The sequence below is a fragment of the Homo sapiens genome, chromosome 8 (assembly GCF_000001405.40).
Source record: "Homo sapiens chromosome 8, GRCh38.p14 Primary Assembly".
Lineage (NCBI taxonomy): Eukaryota > Metazoa > Chordata > Mammalia > Primates > Hominidae > Homo > Homo sapiens.
This window is the reverse complement of record NC_000008.11, coordinates 132,912,539-132,927,382: the sequence shown is the minus strand read 5'-3', so window position 1 is coordinate 132,927,382 and position 14,844 is coordinate 132,912,539. Positions and strand designations below refer to the sequence as shown.

The window sequence follows — 14,844 nt, the reverse complement described above, 5'->3', positions numbered from 1 at the left end:
CTCCTTCCAGGGCAAAGGCAATATTCTGATCATATTTGAACCCTCACTAGCCAGGATAGTAACAGAGAGACTACTTTCCTGTATATTGAATGGATGGAGGGAGGGAGGGAGGGAGAATATGAGGAAAGGAGGGATAGGCAAATGAATGACTAACAACATCATCACAACACCAGGAAACCAGGAGATAACATTATGATGGCACAATTCCAACGTGTACACACATATGCACACACAACGTGCACACACATATTGGAACAGAGGTATGTAAATACCTCTGTTCAGGCACTTGATGTGGTATATGAAATCTTCAGCATAGGTTGACAAAGATCAGAATTAGGAAAATGAACCTAAAGTTAAAGGGAAGATGAACTGGAAATATTTCCAGTGAGCAAGGTGGAAATATTTTTTACTAACTCTGCAAGTAAACAAAGGAAACAGAAGATCAAAGGGAGTGCCAGGAAGCTGCAGCAGGAGAGATTTCAGAGAGAGAGGCAGCAGGCAGTCAGGGAGAGGCACCAACTCAGGAGTGAGCCCTCAGCTCGAGTCCTGATGCCACCACCAGCTCTGTGTCCTTGGACACCTTGCAACCTCTGAGAGTTTCAGTTTTCTGGTTGTGAGGACTAAATAATATAGCATGGAATGGTATATGGTATATGGTAACCACTCAGTAAGTGCTAAGTCCCTCTGTCCCCTGCAGAACACCTTTCCTAAGTCTCAGGGCTTGTAAAATTGACCACAGGAATTGAGGTGGTGGAAGAATCTCCTTCCCTGAAGACCTTTAGGAAATAGTTTCAAAGAATCCCAGACAACTAGAGAAATTTATTCATTCTGTCAAAGAGTACCTATGGCCCTGGAATAGAATAAGAAATAAGATACAATTCTAGCCCCAAAGGAACATATGGTCTAATGAGGTTAGAGCCCAGAGGGGAGGCTGGGATACTGCAAATGGTGCTTTATCCCAAGAGCAATGAAGAACCACTGAAGAGATTTAAGGGGCATTGCATAGGCAGAATCTCCTTTTAAATAACAGCTCTAGAAGCATCATAGAAAAACTGTTGGACTGAAGCAAGAAGATGAGTTAGGCAGGTATGGCAGTACCATGTAGGTAACAGCAGAAGCCTGAACAAAGGAAGTGGCAAGAGGGCTGAGGAAGGAGCAAATTCCTCTCAGGTAGGTACCTGTCTGGGGAGGTATAAGTCCCTTGCTTAAGGACCTAGCCTGAAGGACAAAAGCCTTAAACATTTTACTCCCGAAGAGAAAGTTCCTCTCAAAGGCAATTCTGAGAAGAGATGTGTTGACATCCCAGTGAGGGCCCAGCTTAGTGGCATAGAAATCCCCAGGCATATCCAGAAAGGGAAACTTAAGCTCAGAGCTTTGCATAAGAAGCCAAAGATGCTGAAGCTCTATCTGGAGGCTATTCAGAAGCCAGCGCCTCAGGGAGGCATCATCAAAGTTGTCAAAGCTCAGCTGTGACTCGTGAGCACTTCTGGTGCCACTGTTTAAACTGTTCTTTCTGCCCTGAACACTGGGCAGAATACACCATGAAATGCCCTACAAACTGCATAAGACAATCCTCAAGGCCAACCCATTGACAGAGATGCAAAGAGAGCTCAGAGCACGTAAGACAATAATCCCAGGACTGATGGTGATCACCAGGGCCGCAGGGCAAGTTGTATTCTGTAAAGACACAGTCTCCTTCATTTGTGAAGCATCTGGCTAACTGATCTCTCAAAGCACTTTCCTGCTGTACTTCCCCTGTTTTTTTCTGCCCAAGAAGAGGGATGTTGGGAAAAAAATAAGACTTTCATTGGATTTGCAATTTATTCAAGAACACACACACACACACACACACACACACACACACACGCACTCCTTAGGACTTGTTAGCACTTCACTAGAGAAGGGAAATGATTGCTCTGAGAATTAGAAAATGAAAATTTCTCACTTGGATTTTCACTAATGTTTTATCCCATGAGCTGTACCAGCTTCCCTGGAGGACAGGTAGGCTATGCATGCATATGTGTGTGTATGTGAGGATATGTTTATTGAGGAAGCAGGTAAATCTAGGTGGAAACAGATTGGTAGAATGAAGAATACAAAGGTTTGGTGGTTTGACATACACCAATTCAAATTCTAGGTATATTCTATCCTAACTATGGAACCAAGAGAAGTGCTTGGACATTCTTTGCCTCAGTTTCCTCAGCTAAAATATTGGCAATAATATCTACCTTTTAGGACTACCATGGATTCAAATTTGATAAACACATAAAACACCTGGCACACAGTAAGCCCATGTATGTTAGGCCCTCTCCTTCCACAGAAATACTAAGAGACTGGCTTGCTTGGGCTTGTCAAATGTGCAAAGGTTAGCCACAAGACCTCAAGCAGAGGCAGGTGGCTCCAGGGAAAGGTGGAACAGAGTCATAAAGATTGAGAAGATATCAGGATTAAGGGACCTTGCAGACTGTTTCAGCCTCCCTCCAAGTTTAACAGATGGGGAAACAGGGCAAATACTGTTTCTGAGCCTTCTTATTCTGAGACATTTACTACCGCTGGTAGGTAATGCCATTGCTAAGGCACTCAACACTCTTACAACGGGGGAAACTGATGTCTCCATTTTACAGACGAAGAAACTGCTGAGGGTGAGTGACTTGCTTAAGACTACACAGCCAGTAAAGGCACCACTGGGATTAAACTACTTCTGATCCCACAGGACATACTCTTCTCTTCTGTTCCTCTGGTTCCCATCACACTATATATTGTAGCATATCTGATGGTTTACCTGGGACTTTCCCATCCAGTATCTCACTGAGGAACTGTACGTGGTACAGGGTAGAGCTCAATACGTATTTGTTGACTTTATAGGTTCATGTTGATTCTCAGGAAATAGACTGAAAGCCACTGGGGAGACTGAGGATCAGAGGGATTGAGCAACTTGCTCTAGATCACCCAGCAATTAAGATATGGAACAAGGCCTGGCACACAAGTCTTCTACAACAGAAGTCCCCAACCCCTGGGCCATAGACTGGTACCAGTCCATGGCCTGTTAGGAACTGGGCCACGCAGCAGGAGGTGAGCATTGGGAGAGTGAGCATTACTGCCTGAGCTCCGCCTCCTGTCAGATCAGTGGCAGCATTAGATTCTCACAGGAGAGCAAACCCTATAGTGAACTGTGCATGTGAGGGATCTAGGTTGCATGCTCCTTTGAGAATCTAATGCCTGATGATCTGCCACTGTCTCCCATCACCCCCAAATGGGACCATCTAGTTGCAGGGAAAAAAGCTCAGGGCTCCCACTGATTCTACGTTATGGTGAGTTGTATAATTATTTCATTATATATTACAATGCAATAATAATAGAAATAAAATGCACAATAGATGCAATGTGTTTGAATCATCCTGAAACCATCCCCACCCTGCCACCTCTGGTCTGTGGAAAAATTGTCTCCCATGAAACTGATCCTTGATGCCAAAAAGGTTGGGGACTGCTGCTCTACAACGTCCTACTGAGGAAGAAATGCTGACTAGATTAGTGAAGTCAAGCTGCCTAGAAGAATGGAGGCCTCCACAGATCTTTTAATATAAAAATTCATCTCTTGTGCATGCTGAAGTACTTAGAAGTAAGGGTTCCTGATATCTGGAATTTACATACCAAATGATTCCAAAAAAGAGAGAGTGAAATGTTAACAATTTTTGGATCTAGGTGATGGGTATTTGTTCATTTTGCGGTTCTTCCAACTTCTACACAGATTAAAATTTTTCAAAACAAAAAGTTGGAGACAAATGCACCTCCAGCTTCTCTCCCTTTCTAAAAAGCCCTTGAGACTACTCCCCAGTCCCCAGGAACCATGACTGATTTCACCCCCAGCACCTACTCAAACACTGTGAGTCCTCAAGAGGGGCCTCTGTTTCCCACCATGGCAGCCTCCGCCCCTCGCCGTCCACACAGAAGGCCTTCCCACTGCCCCTGTCCTTCTGGCTGGCTCGATACTGGCCATTCTGGTCACATTGCAGGCCTGCTTCGTTCCTCTGACAGTCAGTGACACCTAGAACCAATAGATTGACATAGCCGTCAATAATGGGCCTCTGGAATCCCCTGACTCCTACTCCCAGGCTCTCGGTCATTGACAAGGTGTCCAAGTCACACATCTAACTCAGACATTCCAGCTTAAAACTCTTCAGTGTTCCCACTGTTCTGATCAATAAGGCCCCTGTGATTTGGCCGCCACCCACCCTAAGTTCTGCACACATACCCCATGCTTCACACACCACCTGCTTCATTCCATGCCCTGAATACACCAATCTCTCTGATACCATTTGCTCCAACACAAGCTTTACTCATCTGGGCCCTCTTCTGGCCCACAGCTCCCCCAGTCTTTGCTGCGCGAACTCTCCACCACTCACCTGTTTTCATCCCAATTCTCATTGTCTCAGGAAAGCCTTCCTACTATGGTCTAAATCTATGGGTGCCACCTGCCAAAATTCACATGTGGAAACCCAGTGCCCAGTGTGACGGTATTAGCAGGTGGTGCCTTTGGGAGGTGACTAGATCATGAGAGTGGAACACTCATGAATGAGATTTGTACCCTTTAAAAGAGGCCCAAGGGGGCTCATTTGTTCCTCCCAGCATGTGAGGGCACAGTGAGAAGGCGCCATCTGTGATACCTTTATCAGACACCAAATCTGCTGACAACTTGATCTTGGACTTCCCAGTCTCCAGAACTGTGAGAAATAAATTTCTGCTGTTTATAAGCCACCCAGTTTATGGTATTTTCTTATAGCAGCCCAAATGGACTAAGACATCTCTGGACGTCCCAGCCCAGTCAGGCCCAAATGTTACACACTATCCCAGGGACCCACACCTCTCCTTCACAGCAGGGCACACTGTTACAATTCCCATTTTCCTGTGTGAATGAACGATTGATGACTGCCTGCCTCCCACTCGATAGACGTTCCAGAAAGGCACAGACCAGGTATGGTTTTGCTCATTATTGTATCCAAATGCCTTGCTCAGTGTCTGACCCACAAAACAAGCTTCTGTCCAAAATCAATAAATGCTAGTCAAATCCATGGATGAATACCTCTATATCCATGTTCAAGCTGTTTCTTCTTCCTAGAAGGCCTTTCTCCACCGGGCCCCCTAGCTAATGTCCCCTTGTCCTTCAAGACCTCTCACAAGCTGCTATAACAGTATCTAATATGTACCTCCATTATACTATTCATTACATCACATGGATATGCTCACACGTTTCTTTTCTCTGTCAGACTCTAAACTCCTTGAGGACAGGGACTTTATCATTACTTGTTTTATTTAATATATACCCACTATACAGTTGGCAGAAAGCAGGTACTCAATAAATTTTGGATGAATGATATTAAAAGGGAATGCCTTCATTTGGTTCTCCAGGTCTGGGAAGTAGGTGAAAGATAATATTTTATGGCAGCCCAGAGATTTCATAACATCTGAGTTTCTATATTTCCAGACTATTGGTTATGTGATTCACCATTGATTAATAAGAACTTTTTTGTGGGAGGTTACAAAGGCTATTTTTAAATAGAATACTTTGCATGTCCTGCATGCTATACATGAGTTAATACATCAATAAACAAACAAGTAAATGAAGAGCTACTTCTGCTGAAGAGTTATCAGCAGAACCTCAAACATGGTCCAGTGAACCAGCTAAGTTATAAAATGTAGGAGAAAAGTATAAGCAAGATCAATAATAGAGACCTGAACTATATAGAGGAGTTGGGATTCTAAAAGCTAACCTAACACCAAAAGGAAATCAAAGAAATATTGTAATCTGGCATTATTTAAAACTTGGCAGACTCTTCTGCCCTGTGCTTCTCTTCAGTACAATTCCATCTAAGAACACAGGCCTGGTAATTCAATGCGGGTTAATGAGTCATAGAGAAGTTTCTTAGGTATGAACAGATCCTTAGCACAGACTCCAACCTTGATCCTAGAGAACCATTCACTAAAATCTCTTTCACTGCTCAGGGAAGATGTTTGGGAGAATGGCAATGATTCAATACAGCTCTCTACTACTGCATGAAAATGCAATCAATGCTCACCCCCAAAATGGGTGGGGAATAAATGCTTATTGTTTATGCTAAACATTTTGATTCCACTTTGCTACAGACTGATTGTTTGTGTCCCTCCCTTACCAAACTTATATATGGAAGCTCTAATCCCCAGTGTGATGGTATTTGGAGGTGAGGCCTTTAGAAAGTAACTAGGTTTAACTGAGGCCATGAGGGTGCAGCCCCCACGATGTTGTTAATGCCCTTATTAGAAAGAGAAGGACAGGAGATTTTTCTCTCTTTTTCTCTGTGTAGGTACTAAGCAAAGACCATGTGAGGACATAAACAGAAAGAGAGCCTTCAACAAGAACCCAATCATGTGGGCACACTGACCTCAGACTTCCAGCCTGTAGAACTGTGTGAAACAAATGTGTTGCTTAGGCAACCCAGTGTATGGTAATTTGCAATAGCAGCCTGACCTAAGACACCCTTTATTACCACCCTGTGAGTGAGTTATCATTGGCTCCACCCAATACAGGAGGGAGCTGACATTCAGAAGAGGAAGGTAGCTTTGTCTAGGTCACAGTGCCAGTAAGAAGGGAGAGTGGTGATCAAACCTGGTCTGGCTGGTGCAAGCCTCAACCTGTGTCCTCTATTCCTGCCATTTCTGTCATATCCCCTCCATAAACAAGGCTCAGCACACTACATTAATCTTCTTTTAAGAAAGTGCTTCTCTGGTATTTTGATAGCACTTCAAGTCATCTCAAACTACAAGTACTCAAGTCATTGTGTACAAACTGAGGGTGATGCCCAGATGTCAAGGACACTCTATTTTCCCAGTGAAGAGTTTATTCTCCAGGAAGAATGCCAGACTCTCAGCCTATAAAATTCCTTTTACTTTTATTTTATTGGAATTACTGTTCTATTATTACTGCTTTCCTGACCAGGAAACTGCCCTGAGCAAAGAAAGTATCTTGATCTTTTCTGATGACTTGTTTTAAAAATTCTAGAAATTATTTGGATTGTAAGCACAACAGTTTCCTTCACATTGACACAGTTTCAGACTAACAAGAAGAGATGCACAACAAGGCAAGTTATGGGTCCTTGCTAGGAAAAAAACCCAACAATACCCAGGGGACTATTAAGTAAGTAGGTCGAGTGAAATCACGTGACATATGGGAAGGCCACCCATACATACAGTCCTGGCAAATTCATGCAGCAGAGAAGGAAGATGAGCTACATAGCAGTAATGACTATAGGTGGAAAATATCTTCCATTTTTCAATCTGATAAGGTTGACTTACAAAAATCAGAAGTTTCAGAATCAGATAAAACCAAGATCAAAGACCAGTTACATCATCCATTAGCTGAGTGACTTTGACTAACTTTCTTTTCTTGGAGTCTTAGCTTTCTTATCTGTAAAAGCTGGGCTACTAATATTGGAAGAGGTATTGGGAGCACTGAATGAGGCAACACAGGTAAAATGCCTGGCCCAGGGCCTAGCAGTAGGTAAGTATTCAAAGATGGCGGCCCCTTTGATTATTATGTTGTGTACCCAATAGTTCTCACAGGTAGGCAATTTTGCTCTCCCTGCCATTTCCACCCAAGAGACATTTGGCAATGTCTGGAGACATGTTTGGCTGTCACAACTTAGGGAGGAGTGCTACTGGCATCTGAGAGCTACCAATGCTACTAAATATCCTACCAAGCACAGGCCAACCCTGCACAAAGAATTATCTGTCCCAAAATGTCAATAGTGCAGAGATTGGGAAACCCTGTTGAGTTCCATTTCATTGCAGGGCTTTTCTTTCAAAGAAGCACTCCACAGAACTTACAGTGAGTCTGGCTGAAAGCTCCAGCAGAAATGGTCGTTCTGCCCACAGGACATGGGACACAGGCCAAGCTCCCTGCCTGTTCTTGGTAGAATCCAACAGGACAAGGAATGCATTCCTCATCTTGGGAATAGCTTCCTTCAGGACACTTAACTAGAAAAAAACAGAGAAATGATGTTAAAAATCAAGACACATGCTTCACAGTTACAATCCCAGAACACACAGGGTAAAGAAAATCCTCAAACCAGTTCAAGAGCTCATTCATTTAACAAATGTCCACTGAGAACCTACTGTGTGTCAGACTCTAAGAAGCAGGGAAGCAGCTGTGAAGAAGTCAGGCGAGCTTCCTGCTGTCCGGGAAGTGACATGCTTGTAGGAGATGAGAGGGTCAGACAGGGATTTCAAATAGGGGTAAAATAAAGAGGGGGGTTGTTTTACTTTGTTTCATGGTTCAGAGTTGTGTTCTTGAGAATTTGCCAAATAACTTCCAGAAGAAGTGAGCTTTTACCAAGTAAAAGGTGAAAGCTAAAATCCTGCTCACTACTGGCAGCACTTAGTCTATCGCCCTGTTACATACATTAATACATCACACCCATGGAAAGTCTGTATTTTATCCCCATTTCACAGTTGAGAAAGCTGAGCCTCAGACGTCCATGCATGACTTCTTTGTATGCTTTTCAGCAAAGGTCAGTGGGAAATTAAATTATAGAATATGCCATGCACTGTGCAGATATTTTAATCCGTTTTTCTTACAACCCTATGGGGAAGTTATCATCTCCATATAAGACTAGAGAGAACTGAGGTTCAAGGTTAAGGACGGCCAAGCAGTGAGGTGTCAGAGGTGAGATTTGAGCTCCATTCATTCATCTCCAAACCAAAGTCTTTGTTCCTTCCACCAATCCAGCCACCTCCCTCTGGCAGAGAAGTCAGTACCAATGAGTGGGACGTGCTGAGATGGAGCCAATGTTGATTTAGCAACTACTGTCTCTGGTCTACGTGTGTAGTTGGCATTTCTGAGTAAATTAGAAACTCGAGCCACATCTTGGAAACTGAACAGTGTGTTTTTTGGTCTGCCCAGAGCAATTAATATCCTCCCTCCGAGAGTGGAGTTTCATTACTTCTATGAGTCAAGTTGGTGATGATTATCTCTAGCATTTCAACCCCAGAACTGTGGCCTTTTTTCAAGTGGCCTCCAAATTCACCGCTGAAGGAAAACAAAAGCCTTTCGGCCAACCTGCCTTGCCCAGCCTCCAAAAGCCTAGGTGCGGGCAACTAGCAGAAATGAGAGAGCTAGAACTTAACTTCCGCTGCAAATCCCACAGGTCCCAGACTCTTGTCTGTGCTCAGGGAATGCACACGCTGTTTCCTCCCACCGGTTCTCTCCGTCTCTGACGTCAAGTCTTTTCCACCCAAAAGAGCACGTTTCTAAGTCAGAATGAGACCACGGCTGCCTTACTGTCAACCTTCCCTCGGGAGAAGGGGCTCTCTCAAGACCATTGGGTCCACTGCCACCAATAGGTGCTGACCCTCAGTTAAATCCCTCAAAATCACTGGAAAATCCTTTAGCCTCAGACCCTTCCTTAATATTAAGCTGGCGCAAAAGTAATTGTGGTTTTTGCAATTAAAAAAAAAAAAAAAATTGCAAAAACCGTAATTACTTTTGCACCAGCCTAATAAAATAAGACAGTTATACCTATTTGAGTTTGAGAGTCTCACAGAGCTTTAGGGTCAGGCCACCCCTCCTGCCAACCCTTGTCCACAAACCCCCCAACATTGACAGCCGCATTTCTGCTGAAGAAAGACATCTGTGAGGAACCGTAAATGTCCTTCACCCCTTCGGAAGGTGGCTCAAGCCCGCACCTGGTCCTCTCTCTCTCCAGCTTAAAATCCTTCCATGGTCCCATCTCCAGCCCACTCCCCTTGCTGTGCTCCAAGGCCTCTCCTGGCCTGTCCCTGTCTCTCTGGCCCCACTTCTTGTCACGTTTCCCACACACCCCATTCCCCAGCTGTACAAATTATGAGCACTGTTTCCAAAGAGTCAGCAACTTCTTGACTCCCTGCATTTATACCAATCTTTCTGGAATGTTCTTCTTCACTTTAGCACCCTCAGCACAGGTATACACACACACACACACACACATATACATGCACAAACATGCACTACCTTCTGTCTGCTCTTGTCTGAGCAACGATTCCTCCTCACCTTTCAAGACTTCTGCCAGCATTTCCTACCCCAGCACACCTGCCCTGACCACCCTGGCTGTGATGTAACAGGCTTCTTCACAGGATGGTCTAGCTGAATACTCACTGATCTCTCCCCAGCCAGGCTGTGAGTGCCTTGAGATTGGAGCTTTGTTTTTTGCCTCCCTGAGTGTGTAACATGGCATATAATATTTTGAAAGTTCGGATGGATGACAGGAAAGAAGAAAAAAAGGAAGTAAGGGAAGGAAGGAAGGAAGGAAGGAAGGAAGGAAGGAAGGAAGGAGGGAGGGAGGGAGGGAGGCATGGAGGGAGGAAGGGAGGGAGGGTTGGAGGGAAAGAAGGAAGGAAGGAAGGAAAGAAGTAAGGAAGGAAGGAAAGTAGGTAAGCAGGCAGGCATAATTCCTTCAGCAAAAAAAAAATCCATAGGGAACCAGCTCTATTAGAAGAAATTATAGTGAATGAGTGAAAGTTAATATCATCCAGAATGGAATATGAAAAATATAGACAATTTCTCAGTTATTCTCCTTCATAAACTAATCTGCTATGAAGGCTGCCAGCAGGTAATTTCAAGGAGAAGCCATATGGCTGGCCTTGAGGCAAAAGGGGGAACAAAACTGACTCCATCAGGGCTGCAAATAAGGTCTCTGCTCCCTGGCCGTCACCAATTCCCTGGATCAAGGCTGCTGTGCCTACACGAGTCATGAGCAATGGACTTTCCTATTGGACCTCTGAGTCATTGCCCTCCAAGGGGGCCATCCTGATTAGCCCTCCTCCAGGATGACACAGAGAATCCTGCTTTATTGCCACAGGACAGTGCTCTGCCTTGTAACATCAAGGCCATGTCCCAGATATGTTTTCAAGGGAAAAGTGCCAATAAGAATAGATACAAAAATGAGAGGGTGTGATTTCACCAAGAACCTCCTTGTTGAGAAGGGAGACGTGTGATGCAGAGGACAGAACAAAGAACTTGGAGGCAGACAGAGTTGGATTTAGATCTCAGCACTGCCAATTTTCACAACAAACCATTCGCCAAGAGTTTACTAAGTGCTGTGCTCTGCATTATTTCATGCTGTCTAAACAACAATAGGTATTACCCCATGCAATAAGTATTATTATCCCTATTTTTCAGAAGATGTCTAGTGAGAATAATGGACTTTCTCCAGGATCCACAATGAGAAAGTGTTGGAGCTAGGACTCGAACCCGGGTCCACCTGACTTCACAGAGCACTTTCCTGAAGCTGTGTGGCACTATAGGCCCCTCGGTTCCTCATGCATAAGATGGAATTAATAACACCTGAGTCTCTGGACAGTAAAATGTTAGTAAGGCCACACGAATATCAAAAACTCAGTGAGCGACAGGTACTAGAACTGATGCTGAAGAAAATTCAGGGCTTTTGGTACTGCTTTTGAGACTTCCATTCTGGATCTTTCCAACCCTTTGGAGTAAGAGGATGGGGCCATGTGGTGTGATTGACAAGTCTTTGTGAGTCAGTTAAAGGCTACAGCAGCTGGAAGATAGAGTGTAGGTTTATCTAGAGCAAGACTGGCAAACCACAGTCCATGAGCCAAATTCAGCTCACCTTCTGTTGTGGTAAATAAAGTTTTATTAGAACACAGCCATATGTTTCTCCCCACAATGGCTGAGTTGAGTCACTGAGACAGAGACCATATGGCCCCCAATGTCTAAAACATCGCCATCTGGCCCTTTACAGGAAAGGTTTGCTGAGTCCTGTTCCAGCCCAGGTGTGTCCTGGGCAAGGTCTCCCATGCAGTCTCTTCCCTACGCCCCATCCTGTGGCTCCCACAGCCCCTCGGAAGCCCCGTGCCCTGACACCAGCTGCTGATTCCCAGGCCCTACTCTTTCCCCTTCAGGCAAAGTTGAGCTGAGTGGCCCCTCCCATCTTCTTGTTGACAGGAACTAATAATTGAGCTTCCTAGAAGGAATCTTGAAACCAGGTTTCTAGGCCAGCCCCTTTATTTTACCTGTGTGTTGTGGGGGATGGAAAGGAAGACAGTCAGAGGAGATAGAACTTCCTTGAAGGCACAGAGTCAACACAGGTTCTCTGCCTTCCCTTTACCTCCTTCTCTGGCTGCAGAGGGCACCCCTGAGGCCAAGGAGCCTCCTGGGGCTGCTTCCAGACCCATGTGGTACATCACCTGGGGCAGCTATGAAAAGCAGGCTCCTGCAGCCCCTGCTCCCAACATGCACACACACAACATACACATGTGCATACACACATAGACACATCACACACATGCGTACGGACAAAAACACAAACACACTCACACATATGCATATGTACATCAGACACATGTATACACACCACACACATACACTAATACACATACACACACACACTCATACACACACGCCACATACACCAGTACACCCCTGCTAGTTCAGCATCTGGCGTTGAAGCCAAGGGCTCTTCACAGTAAAGTCTGTGAACATGGGGCAGGTGCTCTCTCTGTGACTCTCCCTCTCTGCAACCCTATCTCACCCACCCTGGGGTGGCACCATCCACTCCTGCTTCTGTTTCTTGTCCCCTTGGTTTGGGCAGCTCTGATGGAATAGAAAGAAAGATCACAGGCTCTGGTCCCAGAGGACCTGGGCTTACTCGCCCTCTATTAATCAGTTAGGTGAGCTACAGTCCCTCCTGTGTGTCAGCCCCACCCCAGGCATGACAGATGCCCCATCTCATTTAATCTGAACCCCAGCTTCTTTGTCAAATGAGGAAAGGATCTGCCACCAGGGGCTATTGTGAGAGTTAAATGTTTGTGCAGGTGCACTTGAACTGCAGAATTCTCCATAAATGCTAGTGGGAAGTGGTTGTCTTTCTGTTTTCTGTGTTAGGATTTAGCTGCATCTTAAATCCAACGTGGAGTTTACAATTTGGCATAGATTTCAGAAAAGGAAAGGCCATTTGGCTTTTATGTTGCGACCAACATAAATAATTGAAAAAAATAACTGAGAAACATCTTCTCTTTCTTTAGCGCCATAAAAATGTCTTTCTATCTCACCCCACACAGGAGGAAGGCTTCTCATCAGGAGACCTTTGAATCTTCAGTGGTAGACATGACAAAGGTCCCCCCAAAGATATCCATATCCCAGTCCTCAGAATCTGTGAATATGTTAGGTTACATGGCAAAGGGAAATTACCTGTGTAGATGGAATTAAGGTCGCTAATTGGCTGACCTCAAAATAAAGGAGTATCCTGAATCATGCAGCTGTGTGTAGTTCTAAGGTCCTTGGAGGTAAAAGAGAGTCAGAGGAGATGTGACCAGGGAAGAGGGGTCAGAGAGCTGAAATGTTGCTGGTTTGGTGAGCAAGAAAGGAAGCCACCAGCCAAGAAATATAGACAACCTCAAGAAAGTGGAAAAGGTGAGGAAACAGATTTCCCCAGGGGCCTCCGGGAGGACTGCAGGCCCTGCCAACAGCTCAGTTTTAGCCCAGTGATGCCCGCATTGTAATCCAAACCTATAGAAATGTAAGATAATACATCTGTATTGTTTTCTGCCACAAAATTTTTGGTCATTTACTATGGTAGCAACAGGAAACTAATGCAACTTCCATTAAAGGAATCTGCATCACTTTCCCATTAAAAATGGCCCCCAAACTACTCACAGGCGAGGCAAGAGCAACCCAAGTGAACCTCAATCAGGAACCATTTTCCCTGAGTTTTAAAGCCCTGGGCTGATGAATGACCATTTGGAAATTGTGGTGAGTAACATTGCCACAGCCAGACTGAGAAATGTGCGCCCAGGATACAAATGTATGTTAGCCTTCATCACAATGACAGGGCAGGCCAGGCCCAGGGTCCAAGCTTATCAATAACCAACAGAAAGAATCACTGCAAATATGGGGCTCCTTCTGCCATGCCACCTAGCAGATGGAGACTATACACCCATGCATAGTAGATGATTGAAAACTTTTGCTCGTTAACTAAATGGATGGTTCTCAGCCCTGGATGTCCAGAGTAGCCTCTCTCCAGTGCTGAGGTGGCCTTTCCTAAAGCCTCACATGGCTCCACAGGAGATATCCAGGGAGAGAGTGGACCTACCGCATCCCAGTCCGTCCTGACTGGCCTCACTTGTCAAGACTTGGTAGAATCCTTCCGAGCACCCAAACCATGTCCTGGGAGAGGTGCCAAAGTGGTCCCCTTGGAGGAAGCGGATGGTTTCCGCTGGGAACGTCTTGGAGTCCAGATGAAGCTGGAATGAGCCACTCTGGATCAGATCTGTGAAGCGCCCAAGGAGATCCTTGCCCACCAAGGCTCTCTCTGTAAGACACAGGATAAGGTAGAGGTCACCCCCACTGTACTCTGCTAGGGCCAGGGAGGATTAAGCAGGGCAGAGATGCCTAGAATATCCAGACTGGAATGAGACATAGGCATCATGTGGTGTCTCATTTTACAGAGGGAGGAACTGAGGCCCAGAGAAGGGGATGAACTGGTTCAGGGTCACCCAGGAATCAGAAGCACAAGTAGGGACTCCAACCCAGATTTCCTGGCTCTTGCCATTTCTGTGGCACCAATGCAACCCATGTTAACATAGGATATCGGGTCTTCAGTCACTAGTCTAAGGTTCAAGATTCAGATACTCATCCACCTCAACCTTCATTGAGGCACTGAACACCTCTGAGCCTTAGTTTTCCCACCTGAAAAATGGCTTGGGAATGGCTCTCTTTGCAGTTGGTAAGGGTCCTAGGAGAGAATGTGTGTGAAGTGGCCACTCAAAAAGAAAGCAAAGACTTGAAGAGGCAACAGGGCCTTCTGCCTCAGTGTTTAG

General features: G+C 45.1%; 1 protein-coding gene across 13 annotated transcripts in view; it reads right to left on the bottom strand.

Moving 5' to 3' along the window:
- The window catches only part of TG (thyroglobulin), a 267,942-nt gene that overhangs the window by 207,517 nt on the left and 45,581 nt on the right, over positions 1-14,844 (bottom strand). For 11 of the 13 annotated variants that reach the window (NM_003235.5, XM_017013794.2, XM_006716622.4 and 8 more), the window contains 3 exons: positions 14,118-14,336; positions 7,858-8,007; positions 3,875-4,045 (listed from right to left, as the gene is read on the bottom strand). In NM_003235.5, the coding sequence (NP_003226.4) occupies positions 3,875-4,045; positions 7,858-8,007; positions 14,118-14,336 (540 nt within the window). The remainder of the gene's footprint in view (positions 1-3,874; positions 4,046-7,857; positions 8,008-14,117; positions 14,337-14,844) is intronic. The other 2 variants (XM_017013795.2, XM_017013796.2) reach the window with 2 other exon arrangements.